Raw genomic sequence first — 22,334 nt, 5'->3', positions numbered from 1 at the left:
CTGGCTGTTACTAGAACACATCAAACACCCTCCCGCCTCAGGGTCCTCTCTCCCTGGAAGACGCCTCTCACAGATAACCACATGGTGCAAACTTTGATTTCTTTCAGATCTTTTCTCCAACATCACCTTGTCCGTGTGGCCTTTCCTGACCACTTTATTTAAAATTACAACCTTCTCCAAGCAGTCCTTGTCCCCAGTCCTGCTTTTCATTTTCTGTAGCACTTATTGTCATTTAAAATGCTGTATTTTACTTATTTGTTCATTGCCTGTCTTTCCCTTCTAGAAGGAAAGCTCATGACAACAGGAAATTTTATCTCTTTTGTATCCCAGGTGTCTAGAACAGTATCTGGCATATACTAAGTGCTCAGTAAGTATTTTTTGAATACATGAAATAATAATATCAATCAATAGTAGATCTTAAGCTCAAGTCCAGTGAATTGTCCAATTTATTGAGCATTTTCCATCAAATAAAGACCAAAAATGTGAGAAATACTTTTGATCGATTCAACATTTTACCTCAGGTCCAAATAATGGATAATGTAAGAGGGAGGAGAGTTATGATCATTTTCTAATAGAGTAGTGGGTATTCAATAAATATTTTCTGGATGACAGCTATGGATGGCAGAGGACATGGTTCCACTGAAATATATATTCTCACGTTGCCCCTAAAATTCAAATAAATTCATTGTAAGTGAAGAGTCTTAGAAGCTGAGCATAAAGGATGTGTGAGGTGTAAGGAGAGGAAGCAGAGGCTAAGCAGCTGGCACCAGATTATGTTTAGTCCTTTTGGCCATGTGAAATATCTGTGATCTTTAACATGAAGTGATTTGGTCAGGTTTGTGCTCCCTGGTGGAAGTGGGGAAGATGGATCAGGAAGCCTGGGCAGCAATGGCTAGGTCAATCAGTTGATGGTCATATTTCAGGTTAGACGTGATGAGGACCCGAATAAGGCATTGATAGTGTGATGGAGGGGAAGGTGCAGAAATTTCAATATTCATCAAGTCAAACCTTCATACACTTCCGGTGGGGTTGTAAAATGGCACGGCAACTTTGGAAAACTGTTTGGCAGTTTCTCAAATATTAAACTTGGAGTACCCTGTGATCCAGAAATCTGACTCCTTAAGTATCTACCCAATAGAATTGAAAACACATCCATACAAAAACATGCATATGAACGTTTATAACAGCAGTATTCATAATAGCCCAAAGTGGAAACAACCTAAATGTCCATTGGAAGGATAAACACAATATGGTATATCCTCCTTATAGTGGAATATTATCAGCCATAAAAAGGGATAAAGAGCTGATACATGTTATTATGTGGATGAACCTTGAAAACATTATGCTAAGTGAGAGAAGCCAGTCACAACAGACCACACATTGTATGATTTCATTTATATGAATTATTCAGAATAGCCAAATCCTGGAGACAAAAAGTCAATTGATAGGCACTTGGGAGAGGTACAGGGACTGACTGTTAATGGGTACAGGATTTGTTTTTGGGGTAATGAAGAAAATGTTCTGGAAATAGAGAGTGGTGATGGTTTCACAACTCTGTGAATATAATAAGAGCCACTTGACTACATTTTAAAAGGGTGATTTTTGTGGTATATGAATTATGTATCTATAATGCCATTATTTTAAAAAAGGACATTCAGCAAGTAAAATGGACAGATCTTAGTGACCTCTGGTTGTGGAGGAGGAAGGCAAAGGTAGAGTAGAAGAAACTCGAGCCTTTCAGTTTATATAGCTGATGAGCAGATGATGCTCCTTTCCCAAAGAAAGCATTTTTAGGAAAAATTGGGGGGATAGGTAGGGAGATGTTAAGAAATAAATAGGAGGCTGGACAAGCGGTGCCCAGGGAGTGAACCAATGGATGGAGTAAAAAGTAAAGATTTTTTTGTTTTGTTTTTTAGAAAAACATTTAAAAAATATTTCTGGGGAAGGAGAAGTGATGGAAAGAGTACACTGCTCTTTAAAAATATAACCAAATAAATCAAATTTGATTAAGATGACAAGTATAAATTGGTCAACCAAGAAATACTAAGAAGTAACAAAAAAAAAGTCATTTGGAAAGAATAGGTTAGAAATGGCACAACTTTAACAAAGAGATTTATTTTGGCCCATGAAATTTAGTTCATATTTTACCACATTCCACTGGATAAACTGCATGGCCAAAATGAAAAAAAAAGTTAAAGTCAAATCTGATCTTTAGAGACTTTATGGGTTTAGAGGTCCAGAAGAAACATTCTCAGACATAAACATGCAGATCTTATTTCGTGCCAATTCTGTCAACTTTAGAATCTGATAAGAGCATGAATACTTAGAATAAAACTGACTTTCTTCATAGGCTGCACAATTACCAGCACTGGCTTCTCCTGACCCAGCTCGCTACCGTTTTCACTGGTGCAGGGACAAAGTAAAAGGGTTGGATCTCAGGCCTGTCTCCACATCTAAGCTCTGAGGCTAAGCCTTCCTCCCTAGGACTCCTCCATGTTGCCATGGTATCTTTGAGTCACCAATACCACATCTCTAACCTTTATGGCACAGGATAGTTTGAGTTAGAAGGAGTTGGAGATGAAATTCCTGTTTTTATGCAGGATACTGTGTCCCCTTCCAATCAGGTGAGCTCATTCATGCATTAAAGGCCAACCCCAAAGAAGTGTGGGAGAACCATGTGACTTCAAACCATTGCTCTATGCACTGAAGCCTATGTTTAAAGTCATATTAATAGTTATCAGTATTTGGATATCCACTAGGTGCCAAATTGAATATAAAAAACCAAAGCTTAGTTATTCAGATGGAATAAGCCACATGGCTGGTAAAAGGTAGAATCAGGATTGGGCATAGGGCCACCCATACCTAAATCACACTTTTTTTTTTTTCACTGCATTAGGTATTTTCCCAATCCCCATCATTAATAGCAAACATTATCAGTTTCCCCTGTGCATTTTTTCCTGAACATTATCCCAAGGCTTGGATATCATAATACTCAGAGTCCCATAGCTCTCTGCAGCTCTCGGAAACACCGTATTGGTCCCAGAGCCCATCAGCAATGCTGCCTTTAAGCACCGTGTCATCTAAACCATTTTATATATATATAATACTTTAAGTTCTAGGGTACATGTGCACAACGTGCAGGTTTGTTACATAGGTATACAACCATTTTAAATAGACAGGATTATATCCTGATATCAATTCCATCCATCTTTTGAGAAATTGCTTCCTTTTCTTTCCAAACTGCCCTTTGGCAGCCCAGCCTTGCATAGCTAACACCCCTCCTGTTTGGTAGAGCCACACTCACATTTCATTTAGGAATTACTTTATTCAGAAGTATTTAAGCTCAACTTTCTGACTTTGGAGACATGAAGCACAAAGAAGAAAACTTGAAGCAATACCTGATTAACGCTGAATAATTCAGAATTAATCAACGTGTATTCTAAGCTGAATGCCTAAGCTAACACATTCAGAATATGAGCCATCTGATCACTCAGAAAAAAAGAAGAGAAACTGAAGTTCAAACAGATTTAGAATCAACATTTTAATTGTAGCAACACTTCATAGTCTTCTCATTTTCTTTGTTTCTACAAATGTATTTTCTCCCCTGATCCTTATATTTTATTTTATTTTTCTCTATGATAGTATTTATTTTAAGCTGTACTATCATGTTGTTACTCCTCAGTTCTCCACAGCAACAGAGAGGTATCTGGCAGCATGAGCCAACAGAGTTATAGGCAGGGCCAGAGGTAGAGTGAGCAGCCATTACTAAGAACAAGAGGTTTTGTGGAAGAAAATGCAGCTCTAGAAATTGATGAAAACTCAGAAAGCAACAGGTGATGTCATCCCATAAAAGTCAAGGCCTTGTGGGATACAAAGAAGTACTATCAGGCAAGCAATAGTCATAAAAATAATTGCATTATTTACTTATTTTTTAAAAATAATGACAAAGAGGACTAATTTATAACCCACCAACGTATTATGTAATGTCCTCTTTATCACATTAATCTTCATTCTAGAATCCTCTCACCTCCTACATCTGTAGCCACATCTTTTTTCTCTCCATTAATTCTCAGGTCTTCCTCTCTGCCCACCCACGAACACTCAAAAGTTCTTGTTAAATGATACTTTCTTTTTATTTTTCTCCCCTTCCCTCTTCCTTTTTGAATCCTTTCTTTCTCCCATCCTTTCCTATTTCCACAAATTTACATCACATATTTACTACAGAGAACAACTGTACTTATGCGGGTTATGAGAGTGAAGTACTTATGCCATGGGGGCTGCCAAGGTTGGAGATGTCTCATATAATTAGGTCTGCTTTTCCCCATGGTCCTTCCTTCTAGTGGGCAACACTTTGTCCTCAGAGTATCAACAACTCAAGCGATTCTAAAAAAAACCTCTTTTGATGCCTGTTTATGCTCTAAAGAAATGAAGAGCTCAATGTTCCTCTACTCACGTGATTGCCTGAAATCGTAGCTTATTTATCCAGTTTGAAGCAGTGCTGGACCTTCGGTGAGAAGAGAGACGTAGCTGAACATGTTTATAGAAGTGGAAGCCCTTCCTACATTTTTCAGAAACCCAACTTACCCATATCTCATCTGCAAAAACCCAGTGATTAGGTGAGTTGAGATTTAAGTCAGAAGTTCAATGTGTTAATCCATTTTGTGTTGCTATAGAAAAATACCTGAGACTGGGTAGTTGGCTCATGGTTCTGCAGACTGTACAAGCATGGCACCAGCATCTGCTCAGCTTCCAGTGAGGCCTCAGGAAGCTTCCAATCATGGTGGAAGGTAAAGGGGGAAGATGGTGAGAGAAGGAGCAAGAGGAGAAGGCGCCACGCTCTTTAAACAACCAGCTCTCACACGAACTAATAGAGTGAGAATTCACTCATTGCTGTGAGAATAGCATGAGGGATCTGCCTCCATCACCCCCACCTTCCACTATTGCCCTACTCCAACACGGGGGTAAAAATTTCAATATGAGACTTGGAGGGAACACACATCCAAACCATATCTTTCAATGAAGTCTTTGATCCTAGCTATGAGCCCCTCATTCTCCAGCATGCTAAAATATTCAGAAATTAATTTAAAAATATTTCACATATGTTAAAATAAGGTCATAAAAACTGGATGAGCATGACTGGGAACTTACTAAGCAATTGTGATCAGGCCCTAAGGCAAGTATAGTAAAATCAGTTATTGGGGAGTAGATTAGTTACCTGTTAGCTGTGCGAACTTGGGCAAACAACTCAGTTTCTTCAGCTTTAAAATGAGGGATTATGTAATCTAATCTCTATTAATCTTTTCAGCTCTAACACTTCAAGATGTTAAGTTACCTACCTGGATTGTTTTCATGTCTCATTTTCATGTCATCTCATAAACTTCTAAAGTTGTCCTACTTTCTCCTCTATATAGTTTTGGTCTGAAGAGACAAAGAGAATGTAATCCACATTTATTATGCCAGAGGAGACTGCAAGATTAATAGTATCTTCTCTAATTACTTTAATTAATACTATCATCTGTAATTACTTTAATTAATACTATCATCTCTAATTACTTTAACAAATGTTGTTTATTTCTCCTATTTTTCTGGACTACCTCTAGCTTTTTATATTTCTCATACCATTTAATTTTAAAGCACCCGACATTTTCTAAACCTTGAAGGTTATATTTTCCCTCTATGTGCATCTTGAAGAATTGTCTTTGTTTGCATTATGTATTTATGCTGTTTAGTTAAAAGCATTAGCTACTGTCTTAACTTGTATTCATGAGGCCTTTTTCAAAAAGAGTCTTGACTTTGTAGTTGGTGGACTGATAGATGTGGTTGCTAAAACGCTGACGTTCTAAAAATAAATCTTAGTTAAATTTACAATACAATTACATAACACCAAAAGGGAGAGTTCCAGAGGTATCCATTGAAAAGGTGTTTTTACCTTAGTTAATGATACTATGTTATTGGATTAATGCACTGAATTACTGAAGCTGTCCTCCTCTCCACCCTCTCCAATGTGGGGAAGTACTTTATGAAAAGTTGTCTGTCACACTTGACAAAACTAAAGCAAGAGCAATGATATGCAAATAATTTATTATCTATATTCTTAAAGAATTGTTAATTTTCACCTAATAGTAGGAAAATTAAGGATCTCTCAGATTTTCCAGTCATATGGGTTGAATTAGCATGAACCACACACACATGAATGTTTTGGTCTGGCCAGCAATTCCATTTACATGAAATCTTGCTTCACATTAGACAACAGAATGAAATAAGATGCCAGAAAAATAGAAATTATATATATATTTTAATTTTTATTTATTTATTTATTTTTATTATACTTTAAGTTCTAGGGTACATGTGCACAACATGCAGGTTTGTTACATAGGTATACATGTGCCATGTTGGTTTGCTGCACCCATCAACTCGTCATTTATACTAGGTATTTCTCCTAATGCTATCCCTCCCCCAGTCCGCCACCCCCCGACCGGCCCCTGTGTATGATGTTCCCCGCCCTGTGTCCATGTGTTGTCATTGTTCAACTCCCACCTATGAGTGAGAACATGTGGTGTTTGGTTTTCTGTCTTTGTGATAGTTTGCTTAGAATGATGGTTTCCAGCTTCATCCATTTTAAGGCTATGAGGGTCCCAGCCAATTTGCAAAATGAACTTTGATTCTCTCTGATTTTGATGGGGCCTTCTTCAGCCTTCTTCTTGCTAACATAGGAATGATGTTGGCTACCCGTGGTAGATTGCACATTTGGACCACTAATCCTTCCTTTGGCTCTCTCCTCATCATTTGTGACATGACTTTGCAGCTCCTCCCATCAAGTGTTGGAGTCTATTTTTCCAGTCCCGGAGTCTGCACTGGTCTTGTGACTTGCTTTGATCCAAGAAATGCTGTGGAAGCATTCCAGTGCCCATCCTAGAACCGAAAATATTTTGCAGGCCTCTACTTGCTCTTGGCTCCCTGTATGCATCATTTGAACAAACTCAGGCCAGCCTGCTGTATGATAAGAGCTCATATGGAGAAGTCAGCCGAATTGTTCCAGCCAAGCCTCCAGAAATGTGACCTAAGGCAGCCAAGAATGCCCCAAACTAGCCCAGATCAGAAGAATCACCCAGCTGAGCCCAATCTACTTTGTCACCCAAAAGATGTATAAGCTGGGCTAATGGTTGTTGCTTCATGCTTGTAAGTTTTGGGGAGGTTTTTTTTTAAGCAGCAGGAGATAAGTGACATACTATCCAAATTGCTTCACTGAGATGTTCTCTCATAATTTTCACCTAAAATTTCCCACGTTATAAACTTGTAGTTCATATTCCTTAACAATCCAAACTCTCCAAACGGCTTCATTTAAACAAACTGAACAGGTAAAGTACGTTCTGAATAGATGTGAATGATTCTCCTAGAGATAAGTTGCATTAAAAACGGAAACCACCCAAATTAGGAATTTGGGAATGATACCTGATTGTTCCTCCTTACCCCAAAACACTTCCAGGTTGGACAATGACAAGTAGTGAATGGAAATATTGGCCTCTTTGTCACCCCAGTTTTAATTTCTCTTAACATAGAGTTTCAGTAGGGAAGGTAGGAAATATTTATTTTTAACATTTAATTACCTCCTTCACACCTTTTGGAATTGAAGCATCCTCTTTTGGTGCATTAGTTTTTAATAAAATTATTCTTAATCTTTATTGAAAAAGAGTAATATATGCTCCCCCAAGAAAAGATAACTAATATACTTTTCCAGCTTATTTGATAAATAAAAGTTATATATATTTAAGGTATACAATGTGATGATTTGATTTATGTATACATTGTAAAATGATTACCACAAACAAACTAATGAACACAAACAAATCACCTCACATAGTTACCGTGAGTGTATATGTGTTGATAAGATCTACCTTTTTTTTTTTAGCAAATTTTAAGTACACAATGAAGTATAATTAACAATGGCCATCATACTGTATACTAGATACCCAGAATTTATTTATCTTATGATTGAAACTGTAAAAGCTAAACAACATTTATTCTTTTTGCATTCATCAAGCACTTATTTTAGGCTATGCATTGTTCTAAACTTTTATATACATTGATTTAGTTCATCTTATAGCAACATTATGCAGGAGATACTATTTCCACGTTTTGCAGATGAGGAAACTGAGACACAGAGAAGCCAGATGGTTGCCCAAGGTTGCACAGGCTGCATAGACCAAGCTTCACCCTGGTGTTCTACTATGTACTCCAAGGAGACACTTGGTATCATTATTAACAGCATATATTTCACTTATTTAAAATGCTTTGGATTTTTATATGGTAAACACAGTCTTAGACAAACATAATAAGCATATTGCAGTATTTAGTACATAATCATATTTTATAAAACAAAGTCATTTATAAAATATATTGGCCCCAAGTATCTCTCCCCTAATTTTTATATATCCTTTAATAAATCAGTTTGTGTGACCTAGATAGTTTCTAGAGCCATTCTCTAACTTAGAGCTTGACTGTACCTTTAATTGATAATAGAGTAATAGCTCTTTGCTGTATAAGTCTTGGAGGACTGATGAGATAATTTTGCAGAGTGCTTTTCAAGAGCAGAAAAATATAGTGTTATATTTCAACACATCTTTTTCTTTGCACTATTTTTATCGCTGAGTTTGAGCAGTAGGCAGATAATGAACTTACCCTTAACATGATAAAACTCAATCATGTATTTTAGACAATGAATCAGTCATTCTGTAATGTTCAATGGATAATTTAAATGCAGAATTTGCTACAGAAGGAAACCTTCTCTGCCTATATAAAAGCAAAAACATTTACCAGTAAAACAGACCTTTTTTCCAAGAGCTGTAAGGCAAGTGGATTCACCACTGTTGCAGCATCACAATATTCCTCATGAGAAAAATTAAATTCAGCAAATTGGTTGCATTTACAGTCCATGCAACATCTGCACTTAAATTATTAAGCATCACTAATGTTCTAGAATCTCCCCAAGAAAGCCAGAAACCAGGCTGCTTTGTAGGCTTTCTGTGATGACTCATCTTAGACTTAATGACAGAGACACAGAAGGTAAAAATCTGGTCTCACTTTACCTGCTTCCAGTCCTACTGCTGGACCAACCTATCAGCAGTACTTGGGTTAAAAATCCAACCAACCATAAAATTCCACAGAAACTGAAGTACTTGGCAAATACCGTTCATGTGTCCTGGTCTGCAAGCGTTTGTGAATTTGGAACATATTCTAAGATTAAAACAAAGCTGTAAGTGATACCAGTGTTTAGAGAGCTAGTAGCATTATATAGCTCTGCGTAAACACCACCAGCTTCCTAACTATTGTACTAAGCCAACCTGCAGGACTAGCACTGCTTTAGTAGATTTATATTCTACTAAATTCCTCAGTTAGGATGGGCTGATTCAATTGCATTCACTTCTGATTTGAGCCATCACGTTCTAAGGCCATAGGTACTCATATCTAGATCTCAGGCATTTCACTTGACCTTGACAAACTTCGGACACCTCAGTGACCAGAGCTGGTTAAGAGACCAGCATTGTAGTTATGGCCAGCTCTAGAATGTGGTTAAATCTGGCTCTACAGCGGGATTTCCCAAGTGGAATCCTGGTTCTGCCACTTACTTAGCTATATGGGCGTGGGGCCAAAGAATAATCTCAGTGTCTCTGTTTCCTCATCTGTAAAATGAGGATAATAATAATACATACTATATAGGGTTGTTTGTAGTATCAGTGCATGCAGAGTGCTTGGAACAGTACTGACCATGCAGAAAATGCCCAATTTTTTTTTTATCACATTTATTATTATGGACAGAGTAGGAGTGAAAGTCCTTGCATTGCAGTGTCATTTTGATGGTTAAATGAGAACATATGTGTGTGTCAATGTGTATATATAGCACAATGCTGAACAAAAATTAAGCATCAGCAAAAGTGATTAATAACAGCTGCCATCTGTTGTGAGCTTACCTCATGGCAAGGACTGTGAAAGCGCCTTACGCATGTCCTCCTAGCAACTCTTCGAGGTAGAACTAGTAATACCAGTATTTTACTGAGGAAATAATTGAGGCATAGAGAAGTAACTTGACCAAAATCCGGGAAAAAACTGGCCATATTCATTACAATATTGTGCGCTGCTATGAAGGATAAACCCGTAACTCTTAGTGGCTTAATGTAATAGAATATTATTTTTCATGTAAAATCCAAAATGGGTGATTCTAATTGGTGAGAAGCCCTCCTCTAAGCAGCGATGCAAAGATTTAGGACCTTTCTCTGTTGTGGTTTTACAGTTTTTTACATTTGGTCTCCAAGGCCACCATTGTTTCTCTGCCTCGAGGAGGCAGAAGGAGAAAGAACGTGAAGAATTCCCTATGTTATACAGGCAAGGCTAAGCTGCACAGCACTTGTGTTGATGTTTCATTGACTAGAATGTAGTTATGGTCACACTTATCTGCAAGGGAGGCCAGGAAATGTAGCATTGTTGTGTGCTGAGGAAGCAGAGGATTTGGTGATAGGTCAGTTGTCTCCGTCATGGTGGCAGGGATGGGAATCAAACCCAGGCATGTCTGATCCCAATCAATTGGCCAATATACTCTCTTTCTGCCTTTATGTCCCCTCTTTTTCCAAAAGCAGCTTAGAAGACATAAAACATCATAAAAATGCAAATTGTTATCCCTATCATCTCCCTGGTATGCACTCAGCCTTCATAGAGCTGAATCCTCTGACCCCACTGTAATATAATTTGTATTAAAAATACTTTTATAGAGCTTGTATCATAAAAGAACAGCTTTAATGATCTGATTCATAAATATTCCATTTGTTTGGCTGCTAATACTCCTTAGTATTAGATCAACATGTGCCATTCACCGAAATTCACTCTTTGGATCTGTCGTCTACTGGGCGTTTCTGTATTTTTCAGGTTCTGTCTGCTGAATACTAAGTTAATTGAATCAACTATATCAAAAATTTCACCTTTTAAAGCCTCTAACTGAAAAATAGCAAACAGCCAATAGTGACTGAATTTTTGATTGTGTAGTTTAGAGGCTTGTAATTCTAGTCTATGACATTTAGATTTGCCCAGAATTAGATTGTCCTTCCACTGAAATTGCTTTTTGAAAAAAAAAAATTTTTAGCTTCAGACTGCATTAGCTTGTTTGAACATGCAAAAATTTCTAAAATATCATGGACAATTTGAGATATCAAATAAGAACATAGCACCCAGTTGTGTGTAGTACTAAATCTCCCTAAATGAGTTATACATAACAAGGCTCTGTAAGAGCGGGTGAATTTTCAGTCATCTGATTCCACTAGCTCTATATCACCTATGATAAGAATCAGGACTATCCAGTATTTCATACTTGGTAAAATGTCTCTTGATTACTATTCAACATAAAAGCAGAGCTTGAGAATATTGAAATTCTCTCCTCTTCTAGTGTGTGACATTTTGGAAAAGGTCACTTCATATGTCACAATATAGCATAACATTCCTCCAAGGAAGAACAGGCTCAAACTTCCATCTAAATGAAGACTGAAAGTGAAAACAAAGATGGGTGATTCTTCAGAGTTAACCCTAGTATCTGTGGCTGGTAGATTTTTAGAAGGAGAAATACAGGTAAGGAAGCATTCAGTCTCAGGGACTCACATGAGGTCAGGAATTATATAGCTATTCCACTCTATGGTAGACCGCTTTCACCCTCATTTTGGTCACTGCTGCTGTACAAGATGTCCTCCTTACCCTGGAATAAGCAGAGGACAATTCAGTGTCAGTTATGCTTGGTCTAAGGAGTTTCCTACCCGCAGTAGGGGATGAGATCGACAGAAACCTGCCACACATAGAACATTTGCCCTTAGAAATATTGAGGGAAAAAAATAGTGTAAGAAAGGCTCCACGATTATTGCCAGATGGGCAGTCTCTATTGATACCAACCACCTTCAATTGTTGCTATTTTTTTAGGGATATTAGAAAGTGGCATAAGTGGAGATCTCCTGGAAGGAGGAATATATCACACCGGCCACCCATCCTGGAGATGCTGGCATACCCTCCTGTACTGGGCACACCTTCACTGTCCACACGCACTGTCATTTCCACACCTTCTAACTGGGCCATGTTGCTGTCCCTGAGGAAAATAGAGAGGAGGTAGGAGGCACTACAGGTTGTTCTCATATCATTGCTAATTCAGAACTTTTCATTGTTTCCCACTTGAAATAATAAAATTCTTGAGTAGCTCCTATTGAGAGGCAACATAATGCCTCTTTTCTACCAGGGTTCATCCTTAGCAAAATCAGGTAGAATGAAAAAATGTGTTCATTGTCCTTCATTCATCATTCCCAGTTTTTTGCCTGGTTTGTAAGACAGATGACCTTCTACTTTCAGTACTGGCTATAGAATTATGTGAACTAAATGCCATAAGAGTCCACTGAAAGGTGTTATTAAGTGGGGCACGAGTACTTGTGGAAAACCTCAGAGACGAGGGTTTGACGCTGAGCTATTTGAGTAGATACAGGGGAGAGGAAAGGGCACCCCAAATCCATTCATTCTATTGGCCATAATCTTGAATGGATGACCAACTGACTGACTCTCAGATGAAAATGGTGAAAAGCTTTATAATGATATCTGCAACTAATGATATCTGCAACTAATATTTAGTCTTTGGAAGCACAACACATTATAACAATCTCATTTTCATGTTTCATAAAGTGTCATTCTTGCCATTATGAAAAAGAAAGCTATTTGTGCCACTGTGAAAATAATGTCTGGTAAAGACTACTGAGCCAAATTCTGATCTCTTTTGTCCCAGTGTTTTATAAAACTAAGGAGATTCAAGTAAGAGCTCCAAATGCAAAGGCTTGACTAAGTTAATTTTTTTTATATTAACGTTTAACAATGATATTCTGATTGTACAACAAAATCATACTAGAAAAAGGAGTGTACTCTAATGTATTTTTAAAAGAGAGAGAGTGTCGGGGGTGAGAGGAAGAGAAATCACTGGTAATTTATCATCATTAGAAATGAGTGCTCATAGAAGACACTATAGTAATCTGCTCAGAACCCTCTGCCATGGCTATGCACCCATGCCTCAGCTATGGAGAATTTGGCTGCAGACAGCTCATAGCTTTGCCCCAAACTGGAAATTGCCCTTAGCTGCAGGGTATTGCTTCACCAAGTTCACACTCTATCTTAGTCCATCAGCGTGCCAGTATGGTTAGGTTCTGGTGAGGGCACTCTTTTAGGTTTCAGGCTGCCAACTTCTTGCTGTGTCTTCACATGGTAGAAGAGGCAAACCAGCTCTCTGGGGGGTCCTTTATAAGGGCAGTGATCCTATTCATGATGTATTCACCCTCATCATCTAATTGCCTCCCAAAGTCTCATCTCCTAATACCATCATCTTTGGAGTTAAAATTTCAACATACAAATTTTGGGGGGACATAAATGTTCAGTCTATTGCACATACCCTGTAGGGGTGGCTCTGGTTAATGGCTGGTTGGTGTAGTTATAAAAGTTCTGGTGTAGTTATAAAAGTTCTGGCTTCAGCCGGGTGTGGTGGCTCACGCCTGTAATCCCAGCACTTTGGGAGGCCGAGATCGGTGAATCACAAGGTCAGGAGATTGAGACCCTCCTGGCTAACATGGTGAAACCTCGTGTCTACTAAAAATAATAAAAAAAAAATTAGCCAGGCATGGTGGTGCGTGTACCTGTAATCCCAGCTACACTGGAGACTGAGGCAGGAGAATTCCTTGAACCCAGGAGGTGGAGGTTGCAGTGAGCCGAGATCTTGCCACTGCACTCCAGCCTGGGTGGTAGAGTGAGATTCTGTCTAAAACAACAACAACAACAACAACAACAACAACAACAACAACAACAACAAAAACAGTTCTGGCTTCATTGTCTAAATTTGGAGAAACTCTGAAGGGCCCTTCCTGTTCTGGAACACCCTGTGGAACTGTCTGAAGCATCCATTGCAACCACATTGCAGCACAGCTTCTCCCCTTGCCCAGTCTTGCTTCCCTCTATTCCATGATGACTAATCCCAGAGATCAATTCCAAAAAATCTCTGTGCAGGCAAAGCCTATCTCTAAGAACAGCATCCTTTATCATTTTGGTATATCTTTCTGTATTAGTCCACTTTCATATTGCTATGAAGAACTGCCTGAGACTGGATAATTTAAAAAGGAAAGAGGTTTAATCGACTCACAGTTCAGCATGGCTGTGGAGGCCTCAGGAAACTTACAATCATGGTGGAAGGCTAAGGGGAAAGCAAGGCACCTTCTTCCCAAGGTGGCAGAAAGGAGAAGTGCTGAGTGAAGGGGGAAGAGCCCCTTATAAAACCATCAGATCTTGTGAGAACTCACTGACTATCACGAGAACAGAATGGGGGAAACCGTCCCCATGATCCCATTACCTCCACCTGGTCTCTCCCTTGACACGTGGGGATTGCGGGGATTATAATTCAAGATGAGATCTGGGTAGGGACACAAAGCCTAAACATCACTTTCCCAGTGTATATTTTGCCAAATTGGGATCACACTCAATATATGCATTTTGTAATCTGTTTCTTTTTATTTATATTTTAAACATTTTAATTTTGTTGATTCGTTTTTAAAGTACACGTTATTTAGTAATTTCATCACATTTCTGTTTTGTTTTTTTTTGAGACGGGGTCTTGCTCTGTCACCCAGGCTGGAGTGCAGTGGCATGATCTCAGCTCACTGCAAGCTCCACCTCCCAGGTTCACGCCATTCTCCTGCCTCAGCCTCCCGAGTAGCTGGGACTACAGGCGATCGCCACCACGCCCAGCTAATTTTTTGTATTTTTAGCAGAGACGGGGTTTCACCATGTTAGCCAGGATGGTCTCGATCTCCTGATCTTGTGATCCGCCCTCCTTGGCCTCCCAAAGTGCTGGGATTACAGGGGTGAGCCACCGCGCCCGGCCAATTTCATCACATTTCAATAAATGGATGTGTCATAATTTATTTAACCACTCTCTAACTCTTCAATATTTATGTTGTTTCCAATTTTTCCATACCCAAAATAATACCATGATGGCCTCAAACAGCTTTATAAATCTTTGACCACTTAAGCTTATTTCATGAGGTTATATCCTCAGAAGAGGAATTACTGAGTCCGAGAATATAAAGCCTGTCAAGAATTTCAACATATGTTGCTAAATTGCTTTTCAGAAATGGTTTCAATATTATGTTTTAATGGATTTATATTTCCACTACTATATAGGATAGTACTGATCTTATCATTTTCTTGACAGAATTGAGTATTTATTTATCCTTAATTCAGTTTGGGCATTGCTCTTTAACACCAACTTGCTGCTTGTGGGTTGAAGTCTAAAATTAGCCATTTCATTAGACGTTACCTTCTCTTCCAAGATTCATGCAAACTTGCTACCTCACTATTCAGTACTTTGATGTAGGCCCATGCTATAAAATCTGTACATCAATGTCATGCTAAGCACTTCCCCTTACTTTGAATTAGAGTTATTTTTGGAGACTCCGATTATTAATTTCTTTTTTTAAACTTACTGAATTAGAAAAAACATGATGACTAATTTCTTTTTTTTCATATGCTTAAATTCAGGCCCAGGTTACTCATTTCTCGATCTTATTAATCTCTATATTTTCCCTAGCACCAAATATGAGTCCTTGTATATAACAAGTATGCAATAAAAGTATTTTGTAACATAATTCATTGTCTGTGGTCGTTCATCAGCATGTAAACTATGCAGTTTTTCACTTGGTGGGGCAAAGAATCAGTGCAAATCACTGAAGTATCCAGTTAACTACTCATCTTCCTCCATTATAGATGCAATAGTCTTCTACAGAGCAACTGTGAACCAATTTGATGAACAAATCCTTTGATGCTAATGTATTTTGTTTTGTAATTTTGGTGCTGAGATCAGTTGACTCTTAGTGCTTAAAGAGTTCAAAGCAGAAGTCACAAAGAATATGATTTTCTCATTTACTTTTTAAAATTAATATATGTATTTCTATAAATATATGTTCCTAAAGCTATAGTCTTAGAAATTAACAGTAATTAATATATTAACATAGCAAAGTAAATATCTAATGACATTTGTTTGACAATGAAGTAAAATCTACTTTGGGCAACAGAAGTCGGTGGTTATTGTTAATAATTGATCTGAATAAGATTAATGATTTAACCAAATTGTGGTGACTGTTTTGTTCAGTCCACATGGAACTGTATTTTAAGTAGCTTAGACCAAATTCTCCCCCTATGCATTTCTATTCAAGGGGAAAATCCAAAAATCTGTTCTGTTTTAGAGAACATAAAATTGCAATTTCCCACTCTGACTCAGATCTCCCGTTTCTATTCACTTACTGAGTTCTTTATAGAAAATACATGTTGGCTAAAATCAATGAAGCAACTCTAAAACTCCTAAACAATACGCTGGTACAAAATAATTAGCTTGGGAGCTCTAATGTTTCAGTGGGTAAGCAGGCCAATTTTCTCATCCAATACTCAAAAACTCTAAAATGTTGGGTAGTAGGCATTCATTTTTGAAAGGCAGTGTTGAATCTAGGATATTTTTATTTACAAGTTTACCAGTGGTTATATGGCAGTAAAATTCATTTATAGAGAAAGGATTTTCTATTCCCTCCAGTTCACAACGTAAAACTGCAGTGGGCCATTTTGTGATAAATTTAAGATGGGTAGGAGTTTAAGAGCAAGGCGAAAGTGAGGAAACTCAAGGATAGCAATCATAACCATTTTCTCAAAGTTACTGCCATGAGTCTGCAAGCACCAAGATTAAATGCCTCTGCTATAAACCCCTCAAGGCTCTCTTCCTTGATTTCCATGCAAATAGAAACAGGCAAGAGAGAAATGAGTTGCCTTCAATAATCAAAACAAATCAATGTGCTAATGAGAGAAAGGGTAAAAAACATAGATAGCATCTCCATCCCAGGAAGGTAAATGGATGTCATCATAAAATCAAAATACGATTGCACTTTATTAATCTAGAGCCATCAGTAAAAATCTTCCAATAGTAGCTACCTGCAATTTAGTAAGATAAGTCTTAATGCTTCCACCTCTTTCAAAGAGAGGTAGAGAGCAAATCCAAGATTGTATGATGAACGCTCATATATTTCTTCACATTGGTGAGATCTAAAAAGGATACTTAAAATGAGAATGTGACATGATTATAGAATGTAAATTGACTTACTGCTAGGATTTGCAAGTAGGTAAAAGCTTGTACAGGCATCAGTACAAACCAATGTAGTGTCTTATGAGGGATATGCCTAACCACAAAATAGTGGATTAAAAGGTTGAACTATTTCTTAAAGCTCTGGCAATTAAGGAATAGCTGCTGGCTCACATGATGTATTCATGATATTACTCAAACACATGGTAAATACAACTTGTTATCTTAAAACATGACTAAATCTATTCAAAATATACTGTGTCAGAGTATATAAACAAACTTGGGTTAGTTGAAATTAGTGGGTAATCATGGCTAAATTATCAACACTATGCCAAATTTGGTTCCAGTTGACTATTACACATTCTGAACCTAACATATTCTGAATTTATGGACTTTTGCACTACAGGTGATTTTCTTTTTCATTTCTTTTTCTCTCTCTCTTTTGTGTGTGTGTGTGTGTGTGTGTGTGTGTAGTTTTGCTATTATCACCCAGGCTGGAGTGCAATGGTGTGATCTCAGCTCACTGCCACCTCCGCTGTGGTGAATCAAGCAATTCTCCTGCCTCAACCTCCCCAGTAGCTGGGATTACAGGTGTCCGCCACCATGTCCAGCTAATGTTTGTATTTTTAGTAGAGACGGGGTTTCACCATGTTGTCCAGGCTGGTCTCGAACTCCTGACCTCAGGTGATCCACCCACCTAAGCCTCCCAAAGTCCTGGGATTACAGGCGTGAGCCACTGTGCCTGGCCCAGGTGATTTTTAAATACTATTACTGCTTTTTTGTTTGTTTGTGTCAGTTAATGTGTTTTTAAATGTAGGGTAGAACCAAATAGAAATAGGAATATTTTTGGGAAAAAAAATCTCTCTTTACTCTTAACCTACCAAATTTGCAATAAGTATCCACCATTTGCCTGGGAAGAGAGGGAAAAATTATAGAGGCAGAGAAACGTCTAATTTACCATCAATGTTTAGAGAGAAAGCATTTGGATTGCTAAAAAAAAAATTTAGATTAAATTATGTTAGATACAACAATCACTGAGGATTGACCTTTTAAGAAATCTGGTAAGTGTGCTTCTCTAAAACATCAGAATTTTCACTCTGACTGCTAGCCAAAATTTAGCTTTGTAATTCCTTTGTCTAAATGTTTCTAAACTCTGCATTACACACACACTTAAGCATACGCCTTCCAGGAAACCAGAACAGAGATTGGAGAGGAGAGACTTAAATGTGGGGAGATGTCTTTCGGAGCCCTCAATTGTCAGTTGAAAACATTCTACTATACCTCCAGGGAGACCTGGAAAGTTGGAGGCATTCATGACTTGGAATTTGATAGAATAGATGTTGTGGTAGGCAGGATAATTACCCCCACCCCCAAAGTTTTCCATGTCCCAATCTTTGGAACCTGTAAATATGTTCGGTTACATGGCAAAGGAAAATTAAAGTTGCAAATGAATTAAAGTTGCTAATCAGCTGACCTTAGATAGGGAGATCATCCTAGATTATCCAGGTAGGTCCAATGGAATCACAAGTGTTCTTAAATGCAGAAGAGGGAGGCAGAGGGGCCAGAGTCAGACGAGGAGGCGTAATAAAAAAGTGAGGTCAGAGTAATGCAATGTGCAAGATGCTAAACCCTCATTGCTCACCTTGAAGATAGAGGGAAGGGACCATGAGACAAAGAGTAAAGGCAGCCTCTAGAAGCTAGAAAATGCAAGAAAACAGATGCTCCACCAAAGCCTCTGGAAAGGAATGCAGCCCTGCTGATGCACTATTTTAGCCCAGTGAGAGCTATGTCAGACTTGCGACAAACAAAATGGCAAGATAACAAATTTATATTAAGTCACTAAATTTGTGCTAACTTGTTATGGCAGCAATAGGAAAGTAAAATGAACAGATTGGGGTGCTGCTGGAACACATGTCTACAAATGCCAAAGTGGCTTTGGAACGGGGCAGCAGGAAGAGTCTGGAAAAATTTTGAGGATGATAGAAAATGCCTAGATTGTCTTAAACAAACTAAATATGAGTCTATATGTTAATGACTGTGCTAGTGAGGGTGTGGAAGGAAGAGAGGCACATGTTACTGAAAACTGGAAGGAAAGGGATTCTTGTATAGTGGTGGAAAACTTATCAGGATTGTGTCCTACAGGTGTGTGGAAAGCAGAATTTATAAAAGATGAAATTGGACATTTGGCTGAGGAAATTCCAAATGGTGCATTAAAGGTGTGGCCTTGTGACTTCTGCAGCCTCCAGTAAAATGCAAGAGGACCCCGGTGTATATTGTTCTCCTCCCTGTTTCCATATGTTCTCATTGTTCAGCTCCCACTTATAAGTGAGAACATATAGTCCTGCATTAGTTTGCTGAGGATAATGGCTTCCATCTCCATCCATGTCCCTGCAAAGGACATGATCTCATTCCTTTTTATGGTTGCATAGTATTCCATGGTGTATATGTACCATATTTTCTTTATCCAGTCTATCATTGATGGGCATTTGGGTTGTTGGGGGGTTAGGTGGGGGAAGGAGAGCATTAGGAAAAATAGCTAATGCATGCTGGGCTTAATACCTAGGTGATGGGTTGATAGGTGCAGCAAACCATCATGGCAGACGTTTACCTATGTAACAAACCTGCACATCCTGCACATGTACCCCAGAACTTAAAATAAAAATAAAAATTAAAAAAAGAGGAAAAAAGTACACTGAGAAACCAGGATTGATGTTCATGAAATTCTCAGCCTATTCATATTGCAAAAAGTCAGAATGTTCACTTACAAAAAAGCTATTTGAAGAGATTAAATGTATGACTTACTTATCTCCTCAGGCATCTTAGCAGAAGTTAAAAACAGAGATGGGATTATCTAGGAAAGATCTGTAGAGAAGCCTCTCATCTAATGAAGTGAATCTCTGTGATATACATAGGAAGCCCACAAGTTTCTTAAGGATTTTCTATCGGTAGAAACACAGCTTAGACTTAAAAATACAGACAGTACATAAAATAAAAGTGGATGGCCGAGAGAGAAGGAAGAGGCAATTCAGTAGCTTGACAATAAACAAGCCAGAAACATTGGAGCAGATGTTAGTTTAAAGTAGAATTCACCCAGAGAAGTCCTTTTATTTCTTCCTGAAAGAATTGAAAGAATTAAAGACTCTTGGAAGTAGAAAGTACTAGTAGGTAATAAGAATTCAGAGCTATTCACAAAAACTTAAGACACTGGTGGGGACAAAGTAAAAAAGTAATGTTTGGATGATTACATATTGATGCTATTTAATATAATAGCAGTTATATAACAATTCCTTTGGTAAGATGTATATAAAAGCTTTTAGTTTGACTAGTATTACAACACTTTTTGTTAAAACAGACCATTCGAAGATGGGACTCTTCTGTAATCAGTCCAATATATGACTATCCAAAGTCACAAGAATATGTACAGATTGACCAAAGTTGTGATGACTTTATATTGCTAAATCCTTCAATTAATAGAGAGACAGTCTTGATTTGAAAGAACAGTGGAGGGCAATACTTTCAAATAGTTCTGCTTATTTAACCTTTCCCGCTTTACCTCTTAAATTCCTAATATAAAAACAGCTAACATTTGTGAAAGATTTATTATATTCCAGGTTCCATGCCTTATGCCACTTAAATAAATTATTTCTGACATTTCCACAAGACACAATAAGGGAGGTATCTCTACCATCCCTATTTCTCAGATGAGGAGATTGAAGCACAAAGAATTGAACTAATTTGCCCAAGTAGTAGGTTGAAAATTAGGGATTCAGATTCAGCTCCACAGGACTCCAGAAACACAGCTGTTAGTCACAACATTATCCCTTTTAAGTATCTGAAAATTAACAGCTCGTATTCAAAGCTCTCTGATAAAATTGAAGAGGAGCATGCCATTCTAAAGCACAGGTTCTTCAATATAGTAAATAGGTATAGAATCTTCATTATAATCCTCCTGTCTGTGTTTAGGGAGATAAAAAAGAATGCAATAGAAAATGCCCTCTCTATGTTGAGATAATAGCCCATGCACCTCCAGAAAGGAAGAGCCATCATCACTAATATTGATTACGTACATATCATGACCCCAATACTGGGCCAAGTGCCTTCCATACTTTGTCTTGTTTAATCCTCACACTTGAGAGAGCCTGTTTTGCAAGAGGAAGAAACTGAGGCACAGAACGCTTACCAGTTGGCTTGAGGCCCCACAGCTGGTGACTGGTTCTGAGCCAAGGCTCTAGAGTCATCCTGAGACCACTGTGATTTCCAGCTTAGGTGTAACTATTTCTTTCTTTCTTTTTCTTTTTTTTTTTTGCATAGGAAAAAATATGCCAAGTTAAATAACCTATTTATTTTGGGTTCTATTTAAATAAATGTTGGGTGGGATTTGGGAGGGAAAAAATGCAGTTGCACAGCATGGAGAGGGCATGAATGCTTTGTGCCTGAAATATCCTCTGGCAGCTCAAGACAAGTTCTAGATTGTTCCTGATGGGCTATCACCTCATTCTATCCCAGTGTTGAATACGCCATTCACATTGTTGAATGTTTTCCTCACCTCATTTGTATGAACCACCTGAAAATCCGGGACAGTTTTCCCCTCATCCATTTTCAACACATTAGTATTGCTGTCTCCCCAGTCTGCTATCTCAAACTGCAGCTGGCGCCTCGGGTCTGTGTGGGCTCCTGAGTCATAAAGAGTGGGTACTTAGCAACTAGATCTGATAAGCACAGGATGTTCTATCTTTAATGGATGATTTACAGTTTGAGTTTGGCCTTCTGTATCATTTGTTAACATTTTAGACTGTAAACTGATCTAAAAACAGTCTAGATTGGGGAATAGACAGGAAATCATCTCTAATCAAGGTCTAACTGACAAATATTGTGGTCTGAAATTTACCCTAACATTTTAGTATGTTTTTTTCCCCCTTTTTAGCACTGATAGTAACTTAAGCTGTATAATAACAAATTTTAGAGGTTGACTCAATATTTCCCTGGTCTAATTTTCTTCTTCATGTTGAGGGAAAAAAGAAATGAGTTGTTGCTAAGAAATACTAATAGCTACCAACTGGTTTCCTGATGCTTGAGCAAGCTTAGAAACCTGTCAATAGTACATTACGAATTAAAGCCAGTTCAGATAATTTCACAGCCACATCAATCATTGAATATTATTGAA

General features: G+C 38.0%; 1 long non-coding RNA gene across 2 annotated transcripts in view; it reads right to left on the bottom strand.

The window, feature by feature from the left end:
* Positions 1-21,826, bottom strand: part of LOC105373907 (uncharacterized) — a 40,025-nt gene extending 18,199 nt beyond the window's left edge. The window contains exons 1-5 of one of the 2 annotated variants that reach the window (NR_187972.1): positions 21,717-21,826; positions 11,641-11,734; positions 5,337-5,418; positions 4,682-4,768; positions 3,521-4,504 (exon numbers count right to left, since the gene is read on the bottom strand). This is a non-coding gene — a long non-coding RNA (uncharacterized LOC105373907). Of the gene's footprint in view, positions 1-3,520; positions 4,505-4,681; positions 4,769-5,336; positions 5,419-11,640; positions 11,735-21,716 lie in introns of those variants that run through there. The other variant, NR_187973.1, reaches the window with a different exon arrangement.
* Between the last annotated feature and the right edge of the window lie 508 nt (positions 21,827-22,334).

This window comes from Homo sapiens, chromosome 2, assembly GCF_000001405.40.
Source record: "Homo sapiens chromosome 2, GRCh38.p14 Primary Assembly".
NCBI classification, from domain to species: domain Eukaryota; kingdom Metazoa; phylum Chordata; class Mammalia; order Primates; family Hominidae; genus Homo; species Homo sapiens.
Note: the sequence above shows the minus strand (reverse complement) of the source record. Positions and strands in the feature narration are given on the sequence as shown.